General features: G+C 50.7%; 1 protein-coding gene across 21 annotated transcripts in view, besides 3 other annotated features; it reads right to left on the reverse strand.

Moving 5' to 3' along the window:
- The window catches only part of SFXN5 (sideroflexin 5), a 129677-nt gene that overhangs the window by 20341 nt on the left and 87031 nt on the right, over positions 1-22305 (reverse strand). For 14 of the 21 annotated variants that reach the window (NM_001371739.1, NM_001371738.1, NM_001330402.2 and 11 more), the window contains 2 exons: positions 9194-9309; positions 6072-6157 (listed from right to left, as the gene is read on the reverse strand). The exons of 4 other annotated variants lie outside the window; for them this stretch is intronic. In NM_001371739.1, coding sequence (NP_001358668.1) covers positions 6072-6157; positions 9194-9309 — 202 coding nt within the window. Of the gene's footprint in view, positions 1-4860; positions 4948-6071; positions 6158-9193; positions 9310-22305 lie in introns of all 21 variants that reach the window. 3 more of the 21 variants (NR_138476.2, NM_001371741.1, NM_001371740.1) reach the window with 3 other exon arrangements.
- Positions 1880-2573: an enhancer, noted in NCBI's record as "H3K27ac-H3K4me1 hESC enhancer chr2:73191385-73192078 (GRCh37/hg19 assembly coordinates)". NCBI's record gives its function as "activates a minimal SCP1, AML or CMV promoter by ChIP-STARR-seq in primed H9 embryonic stem cells {active_cell/tissue: H9 hESC(primed)}" and the evidence as "EXISTENCE:reporter gene assay evidence [ECO:0000049][PMID:30033119]".
- Positions 2574-3265: an enhancer, noted in NCBI's record as "H3K4me1 hESC enhancer chr2:73192079-73192770 (GRCh37/hg19 assembly coordinates)". NCBI's record gives its function as "activates a minimal SCP1, AML or CMV promoter by ChIP-STARR-seq in primed H9 embryonic stem cells {active_cell/tissue: H9 hESC(primed)}" and the evidence as "EXISTENCE:reporter gene assay evidence [ECO:0000049][PMID:30033119]".
- Positions 20113-20613: an enhancer, noted in NCBI's record as "H3K4me1 hESC enhancer chr2:73209618-73210118 (GRCh37/hg19 assembly coordinates)". NCBI's record gives its function as "activates a minimal SCP1, AML or CMV promoter by ChIP-STARR-seq in naive H9 embryonic stem cells {active_cell/tissue: H9 hESC(naive)}" and the evidence as "EXISTENCE:reporter gene assay evidence [ECO:0000049][PMID:30033119]".

Below are 22305 nucleotides of genomic sequence, written 5' to 3' on the forward strand. Positions count from 1 at the left end.
CTCTTGAGACAAGAATCCCAACAGCAACTGGCCCTGAGAAGACAGCAAAATTGGGAGTAGTTTTCAAAAGTTAAAGTGCATCAGCTGGACTGGGCAACTGGTTAAAAATGCAAATGCCCAAGGGTTGCTTACAACCATGAAAGCCTGATTCAGTGGGCACTGGACCTGGAAATGTGCATTTTAACCCTCCATGAGTCTAAAATGGTGATCCCAGACCACACTTCTGATAAACCCTGGCCCTGGATGTTCCTGCTCAGGTATTAATAAAGATCCCATTACTTGCAAATCCTATGCAAGTAAAAGGGTGAGCCCTGGCCTGGCACACAGTAAGTGCTCAGAAATTATGTGTCATTATTGCTGTTGTTATTGCTCATGTTACCTGCGGGAAGGTAGGATCCTGGTAGCCCACCTGTCTTCCAGTCCTTCCCACAGGCCCAGACCGCAAGGTTTGTCCAGCTGCTAAATCCGGCCTGAATTAAGCTATTGGAAAGGGGAGTTTCCACAGGATTGAGCAGTAGGACCAAGGTGCCTAAATCAAGCCCAAACCCCTCTGATCCTCCAATCCCCATCCAGCACCCCCACCCTCTCTCTCTACTCCATGCTAGCCCATGCCCGCCTGGACTTCCTTAGGGGTCGTGGAGGGGCTGGGAGTAAGGCTGAGAGGGCCCTGAGATGAACTTCTCAAGCAAGATGAGGAGCGGGGGATACAAGGCTCATTCTCCAAGCTTCATACAGAGTCTGGAGGCCCTGCTTGGAGGAGGCTGTGGAAGGACGGGGCTGCCCTCCTGTTCCAGTGGCAGTGACTAGAGGGTGTGGAGTCCCTGGAAGCACAGCCCCGAGGGTCCCTGCCCACAGCCCTGAGAGCAGTGAAGGGTGAGAAAAAGAAAGAGAGACGCTACCCCCGGCAAGTGAAGAGCAGGCCATGGGCTCAGTCCTTGGGACCTGCTGGTGGGGACACTAGACAGACCCCCTTTCTGTGGGGCTGTGACCAAGGCTCCTCTCTCAGGGTGGCTGGCTGAAGTACTCAGTGGGAAAGAGGTCCAAGAAGTCTGAGGCCTGGGCTCCCAGCTCAGGAAGGAGTCAGGCCTGAGGCTGAAACAGGAGCCTCGGAAGCCCCAGCCCAGAGCAGGCCTGAGAGCGAACACAGTAGGACAGGGGGAAGGGAGGGGGGAGGAAAATGGCAAGGAGGGAAGGGAAAGGCAGCTGGGGGAGTTAAAATATGTAGATGGAGAGATGTGCGAATGCCTGGGAGAAAGGAAAGACCTGGAGCCCAGGGAGTAAAGGAAGCTGGGGGAGCGGACTCAGGGCTGTGGCCTGGGCCCGGAGCCAACTCAGACCCAGCCTGGTGCCCCTGCTGGCCCTTCATTCCAGTGCCAGGGAGGCTGGGCTGGGGCTGAGCCAGCTAGAGCCCTCCTGATCCAGCACAGGAACCTGTGATCCCACCCCTGGGCCTAGCTTCCTCCTCAGCATGGTTGGTGCTGCAGGGAGGGTGTCAAGTGTGAACCCCTGGAGCATTCAGGGGAGCTGGAGGGTGGTGGAGAGGGAAGGATGGCACCCAGTGGACTGCACCCCCCAGAGGCAGCCCAGTGCGCTGGACTGGGGATGGACGCTCCTCTGCTTCTGACTTGAGATTCTTTTCCTTTCCGTCTCAGAGTCAAGGCCAACTGAGCATGCTGAGCTCCCACCTTTCTCTTCCCAGTAGGAAGCCCAGGGACCTTGGCTCTGAAAGTATCAACCGAGGCCAGAGGCGAAGCAAGGCAGGTCCCAGCCATGGCCGCCACACCACAGCTTGTCCCCCTCATTGCTGTGCATTCCTTCAGCACTTGGAGCGCAGTTTTAGTTTGCACTCCGTTAATTTGTAAGTGTTCTTTTGTCTTTTTTCCTTGGCTGTCCTGACTCCCTCACCCAACAGGGGCTCCCCAAGGGTGGGGGCTGCCTTCCTTGTCAGCCTCCTCAGCGGAAGCCCTGCACTAGTGCCCCTGCACCCAAAGGCTATAGGGTGCGTGGCACGGACCCTGCAAAGAGCAAAAGAGCTGCTGGATGGTGCAAAATGCAAAGCCCCAACAAACAAGGTGATGAAGGGGCAGTGTCCTCATTTTCCAGGTGGGAAACTGAGGCTGAGGGAGGCTCCACAGCCACATCAGACTGGCAGAAAGAGGTGGAGCAGGAACCTAGATTTTGTTTTCCTACCAGAGCCTCAGCTCACTCTGCTACACTGCCCTGCCTCCCTACCACACAGTCCTGCACTTCCAGAGTACATGTGAGATTAGCAAGCCTTCAAGGCACAAACTGGGTCTTATTCATCTTCATCTTCCTGGGGGAACCCGGGCTGAACTTTTCTTCTCCCCAGGGACCCTCCAAAGAACTTCAGGGAAGGACCAGTGAAACATGAGGCTGCCAGGAGCACCAAACTCTGACCTCTCATCACCTTATCAGAGGGGCTCCTTTGGAGCCTGAGATGTGAGAGTATGTGGCACCCAGACACTAGGCAGGTCCCAGGCTGGACGGGTTCAGTCCCAGAATAATCAACCCACTTGCCATGGATACGGAAGGGGGGAAGGGAAGGGCACGGTCTCTGGCTAGGGCTCCACCCCCAGGCCTGTGCCCACGGACCTAAGTGAGGACAGGCATTTTTGTTTTCCTGCCCAAATGTTGCATTTCCCAAGACCACCCTGGCCTGCCACACCCCCTGATCCTGTACCTAAAAATCCCTGAGACCCTAGCAGGCAAACACACAGGCAGCTGGACATCCAGAGGAGCACATCAGTGGAGGAACACACAAGCGGCTGGACAGCAAGAGGACGTTGAGGGGAGCACGCTGGCGGAAGGGCACATTGACAGACGCCGGCAGGCCACCCACGGGCAGAATGATGCGGAGTTTGGCTGGGGCAGTCGGAGGAGAGCCTGGGCCACCAAGCAGCCCGACTCCAGAGGAAAACCAATCTCCCTTCTGGCTCCCCTATCTGCTGAGAGCTACTTCCACTCAATGAAACCTTGCACTCATTCTCCAAGCCCACGTGTGATCCGATTCTTCCAGTACACCAAGGCAAGAACCCCGGGATACAGAAAGCCCTCTGTCCTCGCGATAAGGCAGGGGTCTAACTGAGCTGACTAATACAAGCCACCTATGGATGGCTAAACTAAAAAAGTACCCTGTAACATACACCCACTGGGGCATCAGCTATAAACATTCACCCCTAGACACTGCCGTGGGGTCGGAGCCCCACAGCCTGCCCATCTGTATGCTCCCCTAGAGGTTTGAGCGGCAGAGCCCGGAAGAAGCAAGCCACATCCCCATCGCACTCCCTTTGAGGGGGACAAGGAAACTTTTCCTGTTTCACCATGACTCCCAAAGCCAAGTTTAAGCCCCCAAGTTAATGGGACACTAACCATCATTCCACTTTCTGCAAACATCTCTGCCAACTGGGAAGGCATCACAGAGCATGTTTTTCCCCAGCAAATTCTTGCAGGACAGGTCCCTGGATGAGCATGGCTGACCCAGCTTCACACCCCGCCCCCCGCCTTCTTGTAGTTCTCAGGATAGCTGTAGGATGTGTTGGGAATGCAACATCTTGAGATAAGGAGGGCCTGTCTGAGACAGCCTGGGCTCATGTTCCTACCTCTTCTGGAACAGGATGTCCTGCAACACTTTAGCACAGTAAGCTGATGTCCCCCAGGGTGGAAACCCCAGGGTGGAGCGCTCCCAGGCTCCCTCAGTTGCAGTGTGATGTGGTACGTGGGTGGACGAGACTCCATCCTCCCTGGGCAGCTTTCTCGAGCCATGGGGCACCAGCTTGCCTTGAGTGGTAGGCGTCCATTGTCCCCGAGGCCTATCTGTGAGTAATAAAGTTGCTTCGCTTGACTTGTGCGAGTGTTCTACCTCACTGGACTTGTGGTACAAGTAACAGAGTAAGCACTGCTCACTGAACCAGCTTCAGAATTCCAAGGTTCAAGACTCAGCAATCTCAAGGACAGAAGAACCACCTTCCTCACCTGCCCCGCTTGCTCCCTGTGTGTACTTGCAGTCACTGGTATTCAGGGACAACCTCAGTTCACGAAGGGGCTACGTATACGAGAGTCAGGGGCACAAAAGAGCCTGCCCTGTTTATTTTTGTCTGTTGCAAACTTCCATACCATACGCATTTTCTTAATCCCAGTGCTCACCATGCCATGCCCATGCTCAGGTACCCCCAGAGCCTCCGCCCTCTTCTAGGGTGAGAGAGGGCTCACCTCAGCTGGGCACACAGGACCCCTCATCAGCTGGACCCATGAGCGCACTTCACTTTGACCAGGCTGGACACCTCAGTGTCTATACCACAGGCCTGCACCCTGCCCAGAAAGCCCGCCTTTCCACAAAAATTCTATCCTGCTCTCTGGGTCGGCCGCAGCCCCTCTCTGGGTACCAGCCCTTCTTGCTGCCAGGCCCACAGTGCTTCCTCTTCTCAAGGTCACCTTGGCCAAGTTCACACACTGCCTGCTCTCACCTGCAGCTGACCTGGGTACGGGTCTTGCCCACCACCCTTATAAACACACAGGCTTCCTGAGATCAGACCCCAAATCTACTCTTCCCATTTCCACACAGGGCAGGACTCAAACACAGGCTGATTGAGGGTTATGACCTGAATATGCAAGAGGCAGCCAGTGTAGCTTGAAGAGACTAAGCTTTGCAGCCGCACTCCTGAGCCACCGCTGGCTCTGCTATTTCCTAGTACATGACCGTAAGTGGATGACATAGCCTGTCTTTGCCTTCCTCTCCTCAGCTGTAGAATGAGGATATTATACTTACCTTATTATGCTGTCCTGAAGGTGAAATGAGAGAATGCATTCACTCACTCATTCATCCTTTCAACAAACACTTACTGAGCATCTATTGTGTGGCAGGAACTGTGCTAGATGCTGGGCAGGGCAGTGAACAAAAGGATGGACGTGCCTCATGGAGATGACATTCTAGTAGAGCAGACAGAAAGTACACAACTAGAGGAACAATCTCAGATATGGATAAGGGCCGTAAGAAAAATAAAGGACTTCAAGGGAGAGGAAATAATGAGAAATGGTGAATTCTGATGGGGTGGTCAGGGAGGGCCTCTTTGAGGGGGTGGCATTCGGGCAGAGGCCTGACTGAGAGAGGACTGGGATACACAAGTGCTTAATAAATGTCGCTTGTTATTATAATTCATACTGCGGGAATAAGAAAGTCCCCAAACAGGGAAGAATCCTTTGCCCCAGAACCCCAGATGGAGTAACCCCATCCCTGTCCTTATACCACACGCCCCCAATTCCAGCTGCTGTCTTGAGGTGTCCCCATAGGGTAGGGTCTCCTCACTGTCAACTGACAAGCCAGGGGTCTGTAACTCCAGGCCCCCTCCACCTAGGGGACCCTCCCCTGCCCCCTGCCTTCTCCCAGGGCCCGCCCTCTCTGCGCAGCCTTTCCTTCCAGCGGAGTTTCAGTCCGCCCCTTCAGTTTCGCACTCATTCATTAATAGAATCACTCCACTACTGTTACTATGCTCCCTCATTTCTTCACAGTCATGACAGATATGAGTGCTTAGAACATCCCTCTGAGGGAGGCAGGAGGCTATTACTATTTGTATTTTACGAGCAGAGAAACTGAGGCTCAGTAAGGTGGTGATTTGCCCCACAGCAGATGCCTACCCAAATCTAGTCTTCCTACCTGAATCCTCAGACTCTGCCTTCACAAATGGTCCTGTACATACTATTCACTGAGAGCATGTGAGCACACATGAAAACACACACACACACACACACACACACACACACACACACACACACACAACTGCCAGCTCCTCAGGGGAGGGCCAGCACTGTTATCCTGGTATCCCTCGTGGCACCTAGCCCAGGGTCCTGCATAGTAAAAGTCCAAGAATTCTCACAGAGTGATTCTGTGGCACTACCTGGAAAGTCCAAGATGGAGCAAGACACCTTCCACCCTCTACACAAACTGGGGTGGGCTTCCTGCCACCCCCTCATCTCTTGCCTGGGCCAGCCGGTTCCCCCTCCCTCTCCCCCTCCTCCCCCATGGTGGCCTCTCCATCCTGGCTGCCCCAACTCACTTCTCCAGCATGGACATGACGATCGGGGGTAGCACCAGGATGGGCATGGGCAGGACCACTCGCGTCAGCGCCGTCTCCAGCAGGGCCTGAGGGGCAGGCAGAAGCTGTGTGAGAGGGGCCTGACAGCTGGTGACAGGACAGCACACCACCCAGAGCCCTAGGTGTGTGCCACCACAACGCATGTGTGTCTGAATGGCCTTATTCATGGGATTGCTCAGGAAGCTGCATTCCAAACAACAAAAAAAGCCACTGGTCTCCTTTTTCCTTCCTTCCTTCCTTCCTCCTTCCCTCCCTCCCTCTTTCTTTCCTTCCTTTTTTCTTTCCTCTCTCTTTCTTTCTTTCCTCTCTCTCTCTTTCTTTCTTTCTTTTTTTTGAGACAGAGTCTTGCTCTGTCCCCCAGGCTGGAGTGCAGTGGTGTGATCTCAGCTCACTTCAACCTCTGCCTCCCAGGTTCAAATGATTCTCCTGTCTCAGCCTCCCGAGTAGCTGGGATTACAGGTGCGCACCACCATACCTGGCTAATTTTTGTATTTTTAGTAGGGATGGGATGGGGTTTCGCCATGTTGGCCAGGCTGGTCTCGAACTCCTGACCTCAGGTGATCCGCCCGCCTCAGCATCCCAAAGTACTGGGATTACAGGTGTGAACCACCGTGCCTGGCTTCCAGTGTTCTTCTTACCACACACATTTGAGAAGAGCAGATTCCCATCACCTGCCACACGTGGGGAACACTCAGGCAGCCCCAGGAAGGGGCAGTGCTCAGGGAGGTGGCTGACTACCTCGGGGGTGGTGGGCACAACCTCCCATACTCAGTGTGCACAGGGGCTGGGGAGCAGCTCTAAAAGCAAGGCCAGCATAGTCAGCTAGGGCCTGTTGAGCCAGTGGGGCTCATGGAGCCAAAGGAGGACCGAGCTTCTGGAATTTACTTTTTTTTGTTGTTGGTGTTTTTTTTGTTTGTTTGTTTTTTAGATGGAGGTCTTGCTCTGTTGCCCAGGCTGGAGTGCAGTGGCATGATCTCAGCTCACTGCAACCTCCACCTCCTGGGTTCAAGCAATTCTCCAGCCTCAGCCTCTCGAGTAGCTGGGATTACAGGCATGCCCCACCACACCCAGCTAATTTTTGCATTTTTTAGTAGAGATGGGGTTTTGCCATGTTGGCCAGGCTGGTCTCAAACTCCTGACGTCAGGTGATCCACCCCCCTCAGCCTCCAAAATGCTGGGATTACAGGTGTGAGACACCGTGCCCGGCCTACTTTTTTTTTTTTTTTTTAACATCTCTTAAAGACAAAGATTTGCAAGATCTTGTGTCTCTTGGCTCTGGATGAGTCTTTCTCAGTGACAAGAAGTTGGTTCTGTAAGGGAAGCATGCTTCAGCTGGGTGTCTGCAGGGTTTCCCTCGGGGTCTGCTTGGGGCCTTGCTCCAGGGCCTCCCAAGGGATTCCTGGGGTGGGAGTGTCCTTGCCAGAACACAGCTCAGTGGCAATTCTGAGCTCCGACAGCCACTGTGGTAAGTTCCTTTAGCCCCACGAGCTTCAGCCCTCAGAGGAGGCTCCAGGAGCAGCTCACAGCCCACAGATGCCTGGAGTCCTTCCCCGGACAGCAAAGACCTAAGCAAGCCAGGCTGAAGGAAGCCAGGGGCCACTTGGGTTTCCTTGCTGTGTGACACTGACAGGAGTTATCATGGCATGGCTGTCCTCCCTCAGGGGGGCTGGGGAAAAGAACAGGGCTGGAATGGGAGGTTGGGGACAGGTAGGAAACTGAGACTAAATCCCCTCTCATGATGGGCTCAGGGCTGAACATTTCTCCCAGGAACCTGGGCTCTTCATGGTCAGCCTCAGGAAGGCCTGGGAGAGGCCCCTCCAGTCTCTGGAACAGGTATGGGAATGACAGGAGGGTCCAGTGCCAGTGCAGGGAGCAGAGGATGCAATGTCGGCATGACACCCCCAGCCCCTTGCCCTAAAAACCTTGGAGGGGCACTGACTTGGAGAGAGCTCTTCCCAGACTAAAGTCTGATTGAGAAGACCTCATGACTGGGGTAAGGCTTGGGGGCCCTGGTGGGAGCTGATAAGGACAGTGGCTGGAGCAGGGATGCATGCTCCACTACTTCACGGCTCCCCCCTAGCACCCATCCTACCCCATGCCCAGCACAGAGGCCAGAGACCAGGGGGCAGCAAGACGAGCCACTAACCACCATCAGGACAAAGGCTGGGAAAGCAGAGGGAGATGTACACATGGACTCATGGACTGCGTTTTTTTTTTTTGAGACGGAGTTTCGCTGTTTCACCCAGGCTGGAGTGCAGTGATGTGATCTCGGCTCACTGCAACTTCTACCCCCCGGGTTCAAGCAATTCTCCTGCCTATGCCTCCTGAGTAGCTGGGATTTTAGGTGCCCGCCACCACGCCTGGCTAATTTTTGCATTTTTAGTAGAGACGGGGTTTTGCCATGTTGGCCAGGCTGGTCTCGAACTCCTGAACTCAGGCGATCCACCCACTTTGGCCTCCCAAAGTGCTAGAATTACAGGCGTGAGCTACTGTGACCAGCCTGTGTTTTCATTTTTTAAACTGCAATTGCTAGAGTGGCTGAGCCTATGAAACCAGTGGCGAAAGAAGGTCTTGTAACAAAATATTCTCCAAACCTCTGCAAGCCTCAAATCCCTTGACCTCACGGCACTCACTCCCTGGTGAGCTCTCACCTGCAGAAGTGCCTATTAACCCAGAACCACAAACCACTGGCCTCCCAGGCTTCCTCGGCTTACCCAAGAGGATGTGAAGGCCCGGGAGGTAGGGCCCGGGCAGAGGCAAGGGGAAGAGAGCTCTGAGGGAGTCTCCTCTGCCCTCACCAATTAACACCTCCTCTGGGTGAGACAAGCAAGAAGCTGGGTCCTGAGGGGCTGCGATAAGAGACAGGAACTTTTCACAGCAGTGAGACCATGTCCAGGGGAACATGCGGGAGGCCAGAGGCCCAGACTCATGCAGATTGGAGGTGGGGGTGGGGTGAGGAGGAGACATCAAGATGCCAAAATAAGGGTACCCTGGATAGAAGCCTGTGGAAGACACACGCTAAAGGAAAACCACTCCCCTCCCCTGTTGCTGGCCTCCCCAACCCTGCGAACCCCCAGACCCACGTGTCGGGCTGCGATCTTGGAGGAGCCCACGAGGTTGCCATCGCTGTCCAGGACATCAATCCCTTCCTCCAGCTCCCCGTACCGCATCAGGACCACATTGCAGATATTGGCACTGGCTGCAGAGAGAGGGGATGCAGAGAGCAGGATGAGGAGGAAGATGGCATTCCACCTGGAGGGAGGTCACTACACTCCTTCCTACGCAAGCCTTGGGGTTCTGTGTTCAAATGCATGGGCAAAGGTTAGGGAAGGGGTGGTTCTGTTGTCCATCTGCCTATCAGCCTGGTGAGGGATCTGGGGGCCCTTGGGAACCTGGTAAGTGAAAGTGGAAAAGAACAGGTATCAGGGAGGACACCCGTTCTGGCCTCAGAGAGCGGCCACTTACCGAGGGGCTGCTTTCCTCTCCTCCAGGGCAAGCCCACTAGGCAGGCAAAGTGGGTGTCCATCTGGGAGGGCTCTCTGACCTGAAGTCGCATCCCCCCTGACCCCGAGGCCTGATGTTCCACCATCACTGGGGCCCTTGCGCTGCCCTATCCTCTTAAACTGTCGGTCCAACATCCAGCCCCTCCTGTCTCTGAGCAAATCAAGTTCCCAGAAATTTGCCTCCCTGACAGCAGGTGCCAGAGAGGCAGAAACCTCAGTGTTCACCCAGCACCACCCCCTCATCATATGGATGGAAGACTGAGGCTCAGAGAAGAGGAGTGACTTATCTGAGGTCACACAGCAGAGTGGGACAGAGCAGAAAGGCTACAGTGCCTCTGCCTCTGAATACTCAGGGGGCAAGAGGGTTGGGGCAGGAGCAGCGGGCTGAGTTAAGGGCAGACCTTCTCCATTCTTGCTTCCTATGGCTGAGTGCCTGCCTTTGGCTAGGCCCCTCTGCCATCTGAGATCTTGGGAACCTGGGCTAAGGGGAGGGTTCCCGGCTCCTTAGTGAAGCACTGGTTGTTGAAGTCTGGGGCCACCCATTAGCTGGCAACTAGCTCAGGGATCCTCTTTCTGCTCCCCCATCCTGGGACTCACATGACTGGGCCAGGCCCCGTGGCCCAGTGCAGTGTGGGTGTTGACCCCGCCTGAACTCTCCCAGCCCCGCTGCAGGATGGAAGTGGGGGGACCTGGGAGGGGTGGGCAGGTGGGGAGTGGGGGGTGACAAATGCAGAGTCTGCCTGCTTCACTCCTCCCCCCAAAGCGCCTTGCTGTGTTTAAAGTTTTAATTTTTGCTAATTAATGTCAATTAATTTTGTATAATGAGTGTTTAATTTTGGGGAGTGTGTGAGCCTGGGAGCGACTGCAGTTCTGGGCTGTGAACGCTGATTAGCATCAACACCTGCTGCTTCCCCCTCCTTCCAGTGGGGGGGGCCACCAGGGTTTGGGGAGCTGGAGGGTGGCGGGGCCTAGTGGGCAGGCGGAGTGGGAGGGAGACCACAGATGCTCCTGGGGCCTGAGCCAACGAGTGGTCCAGGGTGCTCACAGCTGGGGCACAGGGTTCTGTGGGTGAGGTGTGGCTTGAGACCCCTGGGGCCTCAGTCGCCTGTTTCATTAAAATGGGGAGGTGGAATAAACAGGGGAAGACCGAGAGACTCTGCAGTCTTTGGAGAAGAAAAGCAGGAGGCCAAATACAGTTCTAAAATGTATTTAGAGCACACACACCATCTTCGAGCATCTCTCCTGCTTCCACCGACGCTCAGTGCAGTGGAAACCATGGGCAGTCCCTCTGTGTCCCGGGCTCTCCTGCCCCACAACAGGCATGCTCACCTGCCCTAAACAGCCGCTCTCTGCCAGGGGCGGTTCTGTGGGGCATTTGGCCATGTTTGAGGGCATTTTCAGTGATTGTGATCTAGGGGTCAGGGGTTGCTGCAGGCATCTGGTGGATAGAGGCCAGAGGTGCTGCTAAACATCTCGCAAGGCACAGGACAGTCCCCCCACCAAAGGATCATCTGGCCCCCAAATATGTCAACATTGCTGACACTGAGAAACCCTTGTTTTCACCACAGTCAGTGACAGACAGAATTAGGAAGCTGAATCCAAGGTAAAGGAGATCTGGTTAGCAGGGCATGACCAGGAGGGGATGGGAGCCTGGGTTTGGGGCCATCGGGCTTGGGTTCCAATTCTGGCTCCATATCTCTCCCGCCTCAGCCCCAGGCGCCCAGGGCTCAGGGCCCAGAAGGGTCCCCCAGGGTAGCCTTGGGAAGCAGCCACCTGGCCTCTGTGTTAGTGACATGCCCTCTAGTGGCCTTAGGGAGGCTATGCATCCCCCATGCCCTTGGAGCTGCCAGGCTTTCGGTTCCCAGGAGACCTAAGAAAACCGTTGAGAGGACAGTGGGGTTTTCTGCCCTGAAAGGCATCAATCCTAGCCCTCTGATGACGCTGTCCACCATACCACCACCACCGCCACTCCCAGAAAGGCAAAGTTACAGGAATGTGGTCCAGGAGACGAGCATCCTGCTAAAGTCAGGAGCTACCAGCTCACTCTGGGGACTTGAGCCATTGCCACCCAACCCCACCTTGGCTTCTCCGGGCATAAAAGGAGGGGCAGAATGTAGGGTCTCCATGGGATTTCTGGGTGCTGGCTGAGCTCACACAAAATGTCAGCCTCTGCACCTGTGCCCATGCCAAGTCAGGGGAAAGTGGGGACAGCTGAAATGTCTCCAGCCCCCATTTTGTGTGTGTATGCATAGGGGAGACAAACAGAAGAGAGAGTGTGGATCTGGAGGTGGTAGTGGACCAGCCCTGACTCACGGTGGCATCTCACTCTCTCCCTGTAATCTCCAAACATTAAACATGCGGCGAGCAGGACAGCTTTGGTTCAAACACAAAACCACTGAGATGAAAGATGAAGCATGAAAGGAAGTGAAAACCCAGCCTCCTTCCCCTCATCCAGCCCCTCCAGGACAATTCTGAAGCTGCCTGAATGGAAAAAAAACAGAGAAAACCCTAAAAGTCATCTCAGAATGATGGTACCTGCCCCCTCCCCAGGCTCCTCCCTTGAAACCGGCAATTCTTACAGCCTACACAGATGGCACATGACCTGCAATCTCTTCTGTTGACTGTGTACATTGGTTGGCCTTTATTGAGCACCTGCCGTATGCAGAGGCTACCAGCCATCCATGCCCTTGGGCAGTGGGAATGCCAGCCTGTTACAGTGATTTCATTTCCATGAGCTCATCCCAAACTTTCAATTCTGCCATATCCTTTTCAAACTGTCCCTGATCCTTCCCATCCCACTCCTGGCAAGTCCGGCTCCTGTGACAGGGACACTGAGAGCCTAAGCAAATGATAGAGAGAGAGAGAGAAAAAAAAAAAAACAGAGACAGAGAGAACAAGAACATGCACAACCCTGGGGCACAGGTCTCCTCTCCAACACACCAGCAAGATCTATTATTGATGGTATCAGCAGGTTAATTAAGCAGCCTGTTAGTGATGATGTTAAGAAAGCTGGCACATTTTCAACTCAGATTGACACCATTCAAGACTCAGGCATAACTGATGTTTGAGCAGCAATGTGGGAGATGTCAAGGAATGAGAGAGAGAAAGAGAAGGAGAGAGAAAGACTTTGCTTCTTGATGATGGCAAGCTCAGTGTTAAGTCCTGAAGAGAATTTGCTCTTGCCTGCTGCAGATGTTCTCACATCCGACCCATTGCGATGCAAAATCATGCAGATTGTGAAAAGCTAATGAAGCACCCGGTGTAAAAGGGGCAGTGTGGGGAGGAAGAAAGAGCAGTAGACAGAAAGACAAATGTGCAAGAAAGTTCTCCAAAAGAAGATCATGGGGGAGCCTGCCCCTGAACTAGGGCAGGAATAGACAAGCAGATCAATGCAGTACACTAGTCCTGCAACTCACCCATCTGTCAGGGAAATTAATTGGTAGTAAAGCAGTTCTATCAACTCACAGGGAAAGGACCATTTAAACACAGACATGCAGCAATGGGCTACTGATTTGGGGAAAATAAACTACCATAACTCCTCAATTCTACGATGCACCTTCCCATATTTTAATGTTTTAAAAATCATAATGTGCCTTACAATGAAAGTCGTCAGAGAAGGGAATCTTACCTGCTACTCAACACAATTGCCTGTACATGTGTGAATGCAGCCATGTGTACAGGTATCCATTCATTCAAGTGTCACCTCAGCTGACCACAGCAATCCATACAGAATTTGAACTTAAACTTAGATTCCTAATTGTTGCCTAAAACATCTTTCTAAAACTTACACTATAATGGAGCACGGACATGAAAAGTTATTGTACATGCAGAAGATCGTCTGCCAGATACCAGGCAATGCAATTAAAGACAGTAGAAATTGCCAAACCATAGATAGCTACCCTAAAGAAATGCTTGCCCATATGCACAAAGAGACATTTACAAGGATGTTAATTATAGCACTGTTTGTAAGAGCAAATAATTAGAAACAACCTAAATGTCCACCATTAGGGAACTCACATGGGAAGATCTCCAAAACAAACTGTTATGTGAAAAAAGCTACTGAGTATGTACATGATGATTTACTGTATGTAAAACCCTGTAATTGGCATATGCACATATATGTGTGCATAAATCCACAGGTAATGTTTTGGAAGGTTCACAGCTCACAGAGTGGTCTGCTTGGGGAAAGGAATTCAATTTGAGAATTAGGGGTTGTTGAAAGACTTCCACTTTTTTACACCAGAATTTTCTATAATATTTAAATTTTTACAGTGAGAATATAATCATGTTTCATTTACCCAAAAAGTAAAAAAAAAAACTGCCAAACTTCTTGAAGAAGATCACACACATTTTAAAGCCAGCAGGGATTGACGTAACCTAGTCATGGGTCCCACACTTAGGTACCTACAACATGTCGGCTTCCTAAAGAAGCTGATTAATTTCAGGAATATTTTTTTTCTTCAAGTAAAGAACAAATATGAGACCTAAGTATAACCAAATCAGAAATGCAAACAAAAATTCCCAATATTCTTTTATATGCTTTGAAATTATACTATTCATCTTAAACAGGCTAAAGGAGTGGAGATTAGAAGCAGGACTACAAAAAGCAGTGGTGGCCACGATGCTGTGTTTAACAACCAATGCCCAAAAAAGAACAAGAAAATGTGAAGGAGGCTTAGACTCCAACTCTGTGGTACTAAAGAAAGTGACTGGTATTGAATGTGTAAGTGAATACTTGCTTATTCCTTCCAATGGACACTAATTATAGTTCTCTTCTAAAAGGCTATTATGTTAATACCTCTTATAACTCAGGCATCTTAGAAACACAGCATTCAAGATCGATTTAGAAACCATACTATAAGATATGGGGACCTGGAAAGTGATATTTATTACATATGATAAACAAAGGGCTACTAATCTTAAGTTATGGAGGGTCATGGTGACTGACTCCTAAGAGCTATTCTACCCCCGCCCGAGATTAATCCAAACTAATAGTAATAATCCTCCCACGGGCAGTGACTGGTCTAGGAAGAGGCATGTGACCCGATTCCAGACAACCAGGAATGTCTGCTGGGGACTTCTGGGGAAGGTCTCCTCCCATCTAAGAAGGGTTGAGAGGCAGGCAGAGCCTCTTGTCCTCTGGACACTGGGTCCAGACGTGATGCTTGGAGCTGCTGCCGCCATCTTCCACAAGCCTGAGATGAAGCCCACCAGGAGGCCAGCAGAGCAACACTGCGGGAAGCACCCTGGATGCCCCGCCTGAGACTCGCCCTTTGTAAAGTAATAGACTCCCTTATTATTTAAACCCTCAACAGTTTGTGTTGAGGGTTTCTGCTAATTTCAGCCAAAAAATCCATACGATGTATAAGAGCTTTAACAATTATTAAGAAAAAGATATGGTGATCAAAATCATAGAAAAACATATGAGTAGGCAATTCATAAAAGGCTGAAAAACTAATAAACATGAACTCAATCTCACTAATAATCAGGGTTAGGTTTCTAGATCTGAGGAAAAAAAAATCTGCAGGAGTTCTTTATAGGTTTTGGAGGCTAAACCTCATTGGTTAAAGGGTTTACAAACAGCTATTCCCAGCCTGTGACTTGTTTTTCTCACAACATGGTGCCTTCTGTCATATAGTTTAATATATAGTCAGATAAAGAATCCTTCCTGGTATATACATTTTGTGTTGTTAAGAAACTCTAGGTGGGGTGTGGTGCCTCACTCCTGTAATCCCAGCACTTTGGGAGGCCGATGTGAGTGGATCACTTGAGGTCAGGAGTTTGAGATCAACCTGCCCAACATGGAGAAACCCCATCTCTACTAAAATACAAAAATTAGTCGGGCATGGTGGCACACGCCTGTAGTCCTAGCTACTCAGGAGGCTGAGGCAAGAGAATCACTTGAACCAGGAGGCGGAGACTGCAGTGAGCCAAGATTGCACCACTGCACTCCAGCCTGGGCAACAGAGAGAGACTCTGCCTCAGAAAAAAAAAAAAAAGAAAGAAAGAATAAGGAAAAAAAAAAAAAAGAAACTCTAACCCTACTCCAGTGTTCATCTATATTTTCTTCCAAAGGTTTTAATTTTTTACTTATCACATTTAGGCCTTCAATCTATCTAGAATTTTTTTTTGTGGATGGTATGAAATAAGGATATCCTCTTGCTCTCTCTTCTGTTTGGAAACCCAAATGTCCAATAAAGTTAAGAAAAGGTTCCCAACTATACTGGGAATTGGAAAAATGCAAATTAAAATGAGAAATAAACCAGTTCAGATGAACGCATTTTTCTTTTTCTTTCTTTTTTTTTTTTTTTGAGATGGAGTCTCACTCTGACACCCAGGCTGGAGTGCAGTGGCACAATCTCGGCTCACTGCAACCTCTGCCTCCCGGGTTCAAGCGATTCTCCTGCCTCAGCCTCCCAAGTAGCTGCAATTACAGGCGCCCACCACCATGCCCAGCTAATTTTTGTATTTTTAGTAGAGATGGGTTTTCACCATGTTGGCTAAGCTGGTCTTGAACTCCTGACCTCAGGTGATCCACTCGCCTCAGCCTCTCAAAGTGCTGGGATTACAGGTGTGAGCCACCACGCCCGGCCCAGATGAACAAAAATTTTAAGAGATTGATAATATCAAATATTGAAGAGGATGTAGGGAAACAAAAATTCAGACCCTGCAGGTTGGGTAAATGCCCGTATGCCCACCTGGCAATATTTAATAAAGCTAGAAACGTATGTACCCTCTAATGTGTCCATTCCATGTCTGGGTACACACGCTAGCCTGGCGATTCCCAGCACAAGTGAAACCAAAGCTGAGGTAGGGCCCAGATCTGTTTTTTTTTTAAATTCCCCAGGTGATTATAATACAGATGAAGGTTTGAAAACTTTTGCCCAGGAGAAACTCTTACTCATGTGCACATGAGCTGTTTAGAGCACAAGGTTGTTTAGAGCAGGACTGTATAATAATGAGAGACTGAAAACAACCTAAATGTCCCCAATTAATCACCTGTGGATAGCCACACAGTACGAATGCCTATGGCAGCTGAAATGAATGTATATGTATTAACATAAATAAATTTCAAAACCACAATGAAAGGCAAGTTTCAAAAGGATATGTACAGTATGGTACAGTTAATATAAATTTTGAAAAATTCATGAACAATACAATTGATGGCTTATGGTACATGCACATATGCTAAAATATAAAACCTAAATGGTAAGCATACACTAACTCCAGGTCGGTGCCTTCTGTGGGGAGAGAAAGAAACCAGAATCAAGAAGGCAGAGGGCTTTGAGTGTATCTAACGTTCTCTTTCTCTATTTCTTCAATTTTCTATGTTAATAGAAAAATTTCATAATTAAAAAAACAGGCCGAGTGCAGTGGCTCATGCCTGTAATCCCAGCACTTTGAGAGGCCAAGGCGGGTGGATCACCTGAGGTCAGGAGTTCAAGACCAGCCTGGTCAACATGGCGAAACCCTGTCTCTACTAAAAACACAAAAATTAGCCAGGCATGGTGGCATGCACCTGTAATCCCAGCTACTTGGGAGGCCAAGACAGAAGAATTGCTTGAACCCAGGAGGCGGAGGTTGCAGTGAGCCGAGATCATGCCACTGCACTCCAGCCTGGGTGACAGAGCAAGACTCCGTCTATAAATAAATAAATAAAGAAATCATTTAAAAATAGCCATGGAACAAACTACTGTGGCTATTAAGGAGAAGTTACAATTTTATGACTGCCATGGAAAGACATCTAAAATTGACTGTGAGGTTAAAAAGCAGTTTACAGAATAGTATATATATATCTATATATGAACCCATTTGTATTAAGTTACATTTATATAGACATATTTATACACTACATATAGATATAATAGGCAGAGATTCATATACTTTTAGATGTTAACTTGAATTTGGAGGGATATATACTAAATGACTCGGGAGAGAGAAGTAGGATTGCTTATTCTATTATGTATTATCAGAAAGAAATAGAGCCATTTTCATTAAAACGAACAAACAAGCACTCTAGTAGCAAGCATGAGACTTCAGCTGCTATTCTGGCTCAAGACTGATGTTGGACTAAGTACTTCCATATTCCACTTCCTCTTCTGCAAGAAGTGGGAGGTAATGCTGGCCTCCCCTCCCCTCTTCTCTCTTCTCTCCTCCCTCCCTCTCTTCCTTCCTTCCACCGTTGTGGGCAACACAGTCAATGATTCAAATGGTGTAAAAGGGGAAATAATAAAAAGTAAGTCTCCTTCCCAACCCTAAACTTTACCCCCTCCCCAGAGGCAACCACTATAGCCAGGTTCTCATGTCCCTGCCCGGGAAGGTCTATGTATATACATGTAGGCATATTACCACCTTTACACACTCACACATACTCTCTCTCTCACACTCGAATCACAGCAGAATACAACCCCTCTGCCTTTAAGACAGTGATGATTATCAAATAAGGATGCATGCCCTCATATTTGCTTGATTTCACAAAAATCCCCATTATTCCACCTGAGAGGCAGTGCTAAGTAAGCAGCACAAATTTTCTCTTAAGTAGCTTGAGAATTTGGGGAGAGTTTCACAACCCATATTGAAGTGTCACCGACTCAGGATCGGGAATTTCTGGATTGAAAAATCAGCCTGTAAGTCTAGGTGTAGGCTGACTCGGAAGTTTGGAATCTCTTAATGTGATTCCTGCTAACACATCCATCTTTTTAAAAAGCCCCTTTTTATCACAGCTGCCTCTTAGCTTGAGATTCTTCAATGGTTCCTCATCAACCAAAGATAAAGCTCAAACCCCAAGCTAACACTCATAGCGACAACATGCCCTCCTCTGTTCCCCAGCAGGCCAGGCCAGCCCAGCCAGGCCCCCTGCCCCCTCCTGCATTCCCCTCCTGCATAGCCCCTCCCTCCCTCTGCATTACACCTCCCCACTTTCTCTGCCTCTGGGCTTCTCTACCTTCTGGATTTCAGGAATTATAAAACCCCAGAACTGGAAGGCCATTTACGCAACAAGCACTTATGGAGCACCTACGGTATGCCAGATCCTGAGCAAGCTGCTTGGAAACAGGTGCCTTGGTCGCGTGCGAGTGCCCCTCACAGCTTCTGGGGCCTGTCTACTAATCAGACATTTCCCTCAAATCCAGGAGTCAGGCAGCTCATTCCAATAACAGGCTCTCATTTTTTTCAGAAGATCCTGTCACTCTTATGGCGTTACCACTTATCAGAGCTACTCTTGACGTGTACAGCCAGAATTAAACAGACTCCTTTGTTCTTGGTGTTCTATCTTTAGTAATGCAGCTGAAATCTGAGTGAGCATCATCAGAGGCACACACCACACCAGGGACCCATTCTGAGCACACGGCACACGAGACCCCCGGGTCTCTGTCTTGAGAACTTCAGCCAAGTCAGGTCTTGACACCCTCACACTTGTGCACCTACATTTTTTGAACAGCAAGGCTTACATCAAACCTTGTGAGATCTCATCGGCCCACCTCGATGGATCTTTTTAGATCCTGGTGCTCTTGCCCATGAATTCACAATCCCTGCCAGGTTGGTGTCCCTGTTTTTTGAATATGAGCCACAGGCCTCCTCCATCCAAGGCATCAAAATAACTGAAGGGAATGAAACTGAAGACAGAGCCCTGGGACACTAGACACTTTCCTCTGGCTGCCTTGGACCCACTGCCTGTGTCCTCTTGGGGCCTGACACACAGCAGGGGCCCATGCCAGTTCTGAGGCTGCCACCAATTCTGGCACCCAGCCCAGCCCAACCTTCCATGGCTCCTCAAAATCCACAGCACCACGCCCACATATTCCTTTGATAACATGATCTAATTATCCCCGCCCTTTTCTCAACAAACACCATTTCCGTACATAATTCAGTTCATATTAGATTCCTAAAATCGTAGAGGTGATGGAAGGTGATTTAGAGAGATTATCGAATGGGTTTCATCCTCTATAAAACTTTATTGCCCTTATCACTGGAACTTTGTGTGTGTGTGTGTGTGTGTGTGTGTGTGTGCGTGCCATTTTGAACATCTAACCACCTCTTACCCCCAAAGAACAAGTTCCCTGATGGCAGGAATGTGCCACCCCTGATTGGGGCAGGAGGAACAGAGTGGAGCTGGAAGAGGATCAACATTTAGTAGGTGCTCATGCTACGCTGGGAAATTGACATGTTCAATCCCCATGAAAACTTTGCTTAGAGATACTAGTATCCATTTTATAGACGGGGCCATAATGGCCTGGAAGGGTTGGATAATGTGCCCAGGATGATCTGGAAAGGGGTGGGCCCATTGGTCATCCACCCTAGGCCTGCTGACTAAGAGTGGACCACAGTGATGGTAAAAATGTAAACAAGAAAACAGAGCACTCCAAAACAACTTTAAAAAGTGGAAAAGGTCCAGAATAAATGTCCAGGTAGCTACAGAATCTGGCCACCACTGTCATCAGGGTGAGGTTCTGCCACGAGTGACTCATCTCAAACCTTTTGTGCCAAAGCACTCATTTGATCATTGAATAAACCCACATTGAGCACTGACTGTGTGCCAGGCACCGAGGGGGCTGAGTGTGGTGGTAGATGAGATCCAGTCCCTGCCTTGGGGCACTCAATGTCTAATGGGGGAGGCAGGCTTGGAAACAACACGGGCAGTCCCCAGATAGACATCGGCACACACAGGTAGCTGCCATCTAACCCTGGCTGGGACTCCCAGCGAGGGCTTCCAAGAGGAGATGGTGTTTGAGCAGAGTCACAAAGGCCTGGTAGTCGAGGGAGGGCAGAGGGTGCTTGAGGTAGTGGGAAGAGCAGGTATCCAGACATCAGGGCCACATGCAAAGGCCTGGGGCCCGGCAAGAGGGAGGAGAGGAGGACGGCAGCGTTCTCCAGGGCTGCAGTGGGGCACAGGAGAGGCAAGAGCAGGCCAGGTCAAAGAAGGGACTCATGGCATCCAGAGGTGCCTGAAGGGCATGAATGCCACGTGAAGCACCACTGACCTTGATGGATGGACCTTGATGTCACAGGGCCCAGGACAAGCTGCCACAGGTGCACACTGCTGCCTCCTGCTCACAGGGGATGAGGCCTGGGGAGCTGTGCTCTGACCTGGGGGTAGGCCCTCCAGACTTGGGCAGCACTGCCATGGCCACTCCTAGACGGAGGAAGCAGGGTGGACTGAGCACAAAGGGGGAGCAGTGGAGCAAAGAGGGGTTCAATGACATGAAGACCCGTGTGGCCTTGGGGAGAAGGGGGCATGGACGTCAGGGAACAGGTTTGCCACACCTGTGAATGAACAGAAGACCTTCTCCCAAATAGTGCCAGGACACCCTGGGCAACGGACTCATTGGTTAACACCGAGATCTTTTCATGGCAATAAAATAAATCCTGACATTTAACATAGGAGACTGCTGGGGACGGCACAGGAAGAAGTCATTTCTCAGCAAGGAGCTGCTGAGGCTGGCATTTCCGGTGCCTGCAGGAAGCTTGTTCTCCTTGGAAGGAGCAGCTGGCTGATGCCAAAGCTCAGGCCTTCCTCATGAGGAGCTCAGGGCCTAGCTGGGGGTCTTGATGAGCACATGACACTCACTGCCTGTTCCCTGCTCTGAGTGGATGCAGCCAGGCAGCCTGGGGTGACCTTCAGGGCTTCCTGCCCTCCCCATGCACACACCTACCCGGAGTCCAGAGGGCCAGCTTTATAGATGTGCTTGCTGAGACAACACCTCTGTCTCCACCTCCCTAAGGCCCCTGCCCCACCCATTGCTGTCAACGAGATGTCTATTCCCCTGGCCACTGCCACCTCTGGGACCCAGGACTTGGCCCTCCTTCCTGCTGGTAACTGCTCCTGGTACCCCTCCTCCAAGGCCCCTTGAGAAGCCTGTGGGGCCGGCAACCCCTGGAACAGACTCTGCTCACAGAGACTGGTGGCTAGAGCTGGGGGTGTGTATTTTTCCAATGCCTCCTCTACTGACCTTTAATTACACTGTTTGCCCAGCTTCCCAAACCATTAACTTCACCTGGCAGCAACCATACGTCAATTAACGGAGGGCCCGCTCCGAGCTTGAGCTCCTGAACACAATTAGGCGTGACAGTCCACAAATAAGAAAGAACTGGAGAATTAATTAAGGTCTAAGCAAATTAATTACCAGTCCCCAATCGATTCCGATGCCAGCACACATGCTCCTGGGCTCACTGTCTTTCCTAACATCTCCATGTATAAATAGAAACTGAGATCTCCCACACGATTGCTGTTCTAGACCAGGGACACAGCATGGCCCTGAAACCACCTCTCTCCAAGGGGAGAGAAATGGCTGCAGTGAGCATCCCAGGGCTTCCCACATACTCAGCACATGTGCCTGCACATGCATCAGTCACGTGACACAGGCGTGTGCACACACACACTCTGAAAAACTAGGGGGGAACTTGGAGGCAGAACAGGGAGGACACCGCGTAGCCTTGGCTGCCTCCAGGCCACACTGCTCAGTTTCTCAGCTATATGGGTGAGGGGTTATCTCACAGGGCTTGAAATAGCCCTGGGCTGGGCCTGGGAGGCCTGGGAGGCCTGGGCTCTGGCCAGCTCAGTATCACTTTTAGCAAGTCTGACTTTGTTCATTCTTCTGTAAGAGGGTGATGGCTTGCTCTGCCTTCGGACCCTCCCAGCACAGAATGAGGAGAACCGAGGGAGGAGAGAGGCTTGCTAGGGAATATGAGGGGAG

This window comes from Homo sapiens, chromosome 2, assembly GCF_000001405.40.
Source record: "Homo sapiens chromosome 2, GRCh38.p14 Primary Assembly".
Lineage (NCBI taxonomy): Eukaryota > Metazoa > Chordata > Mammalia > Primates > Hominidae > Homo > Homo sapiens.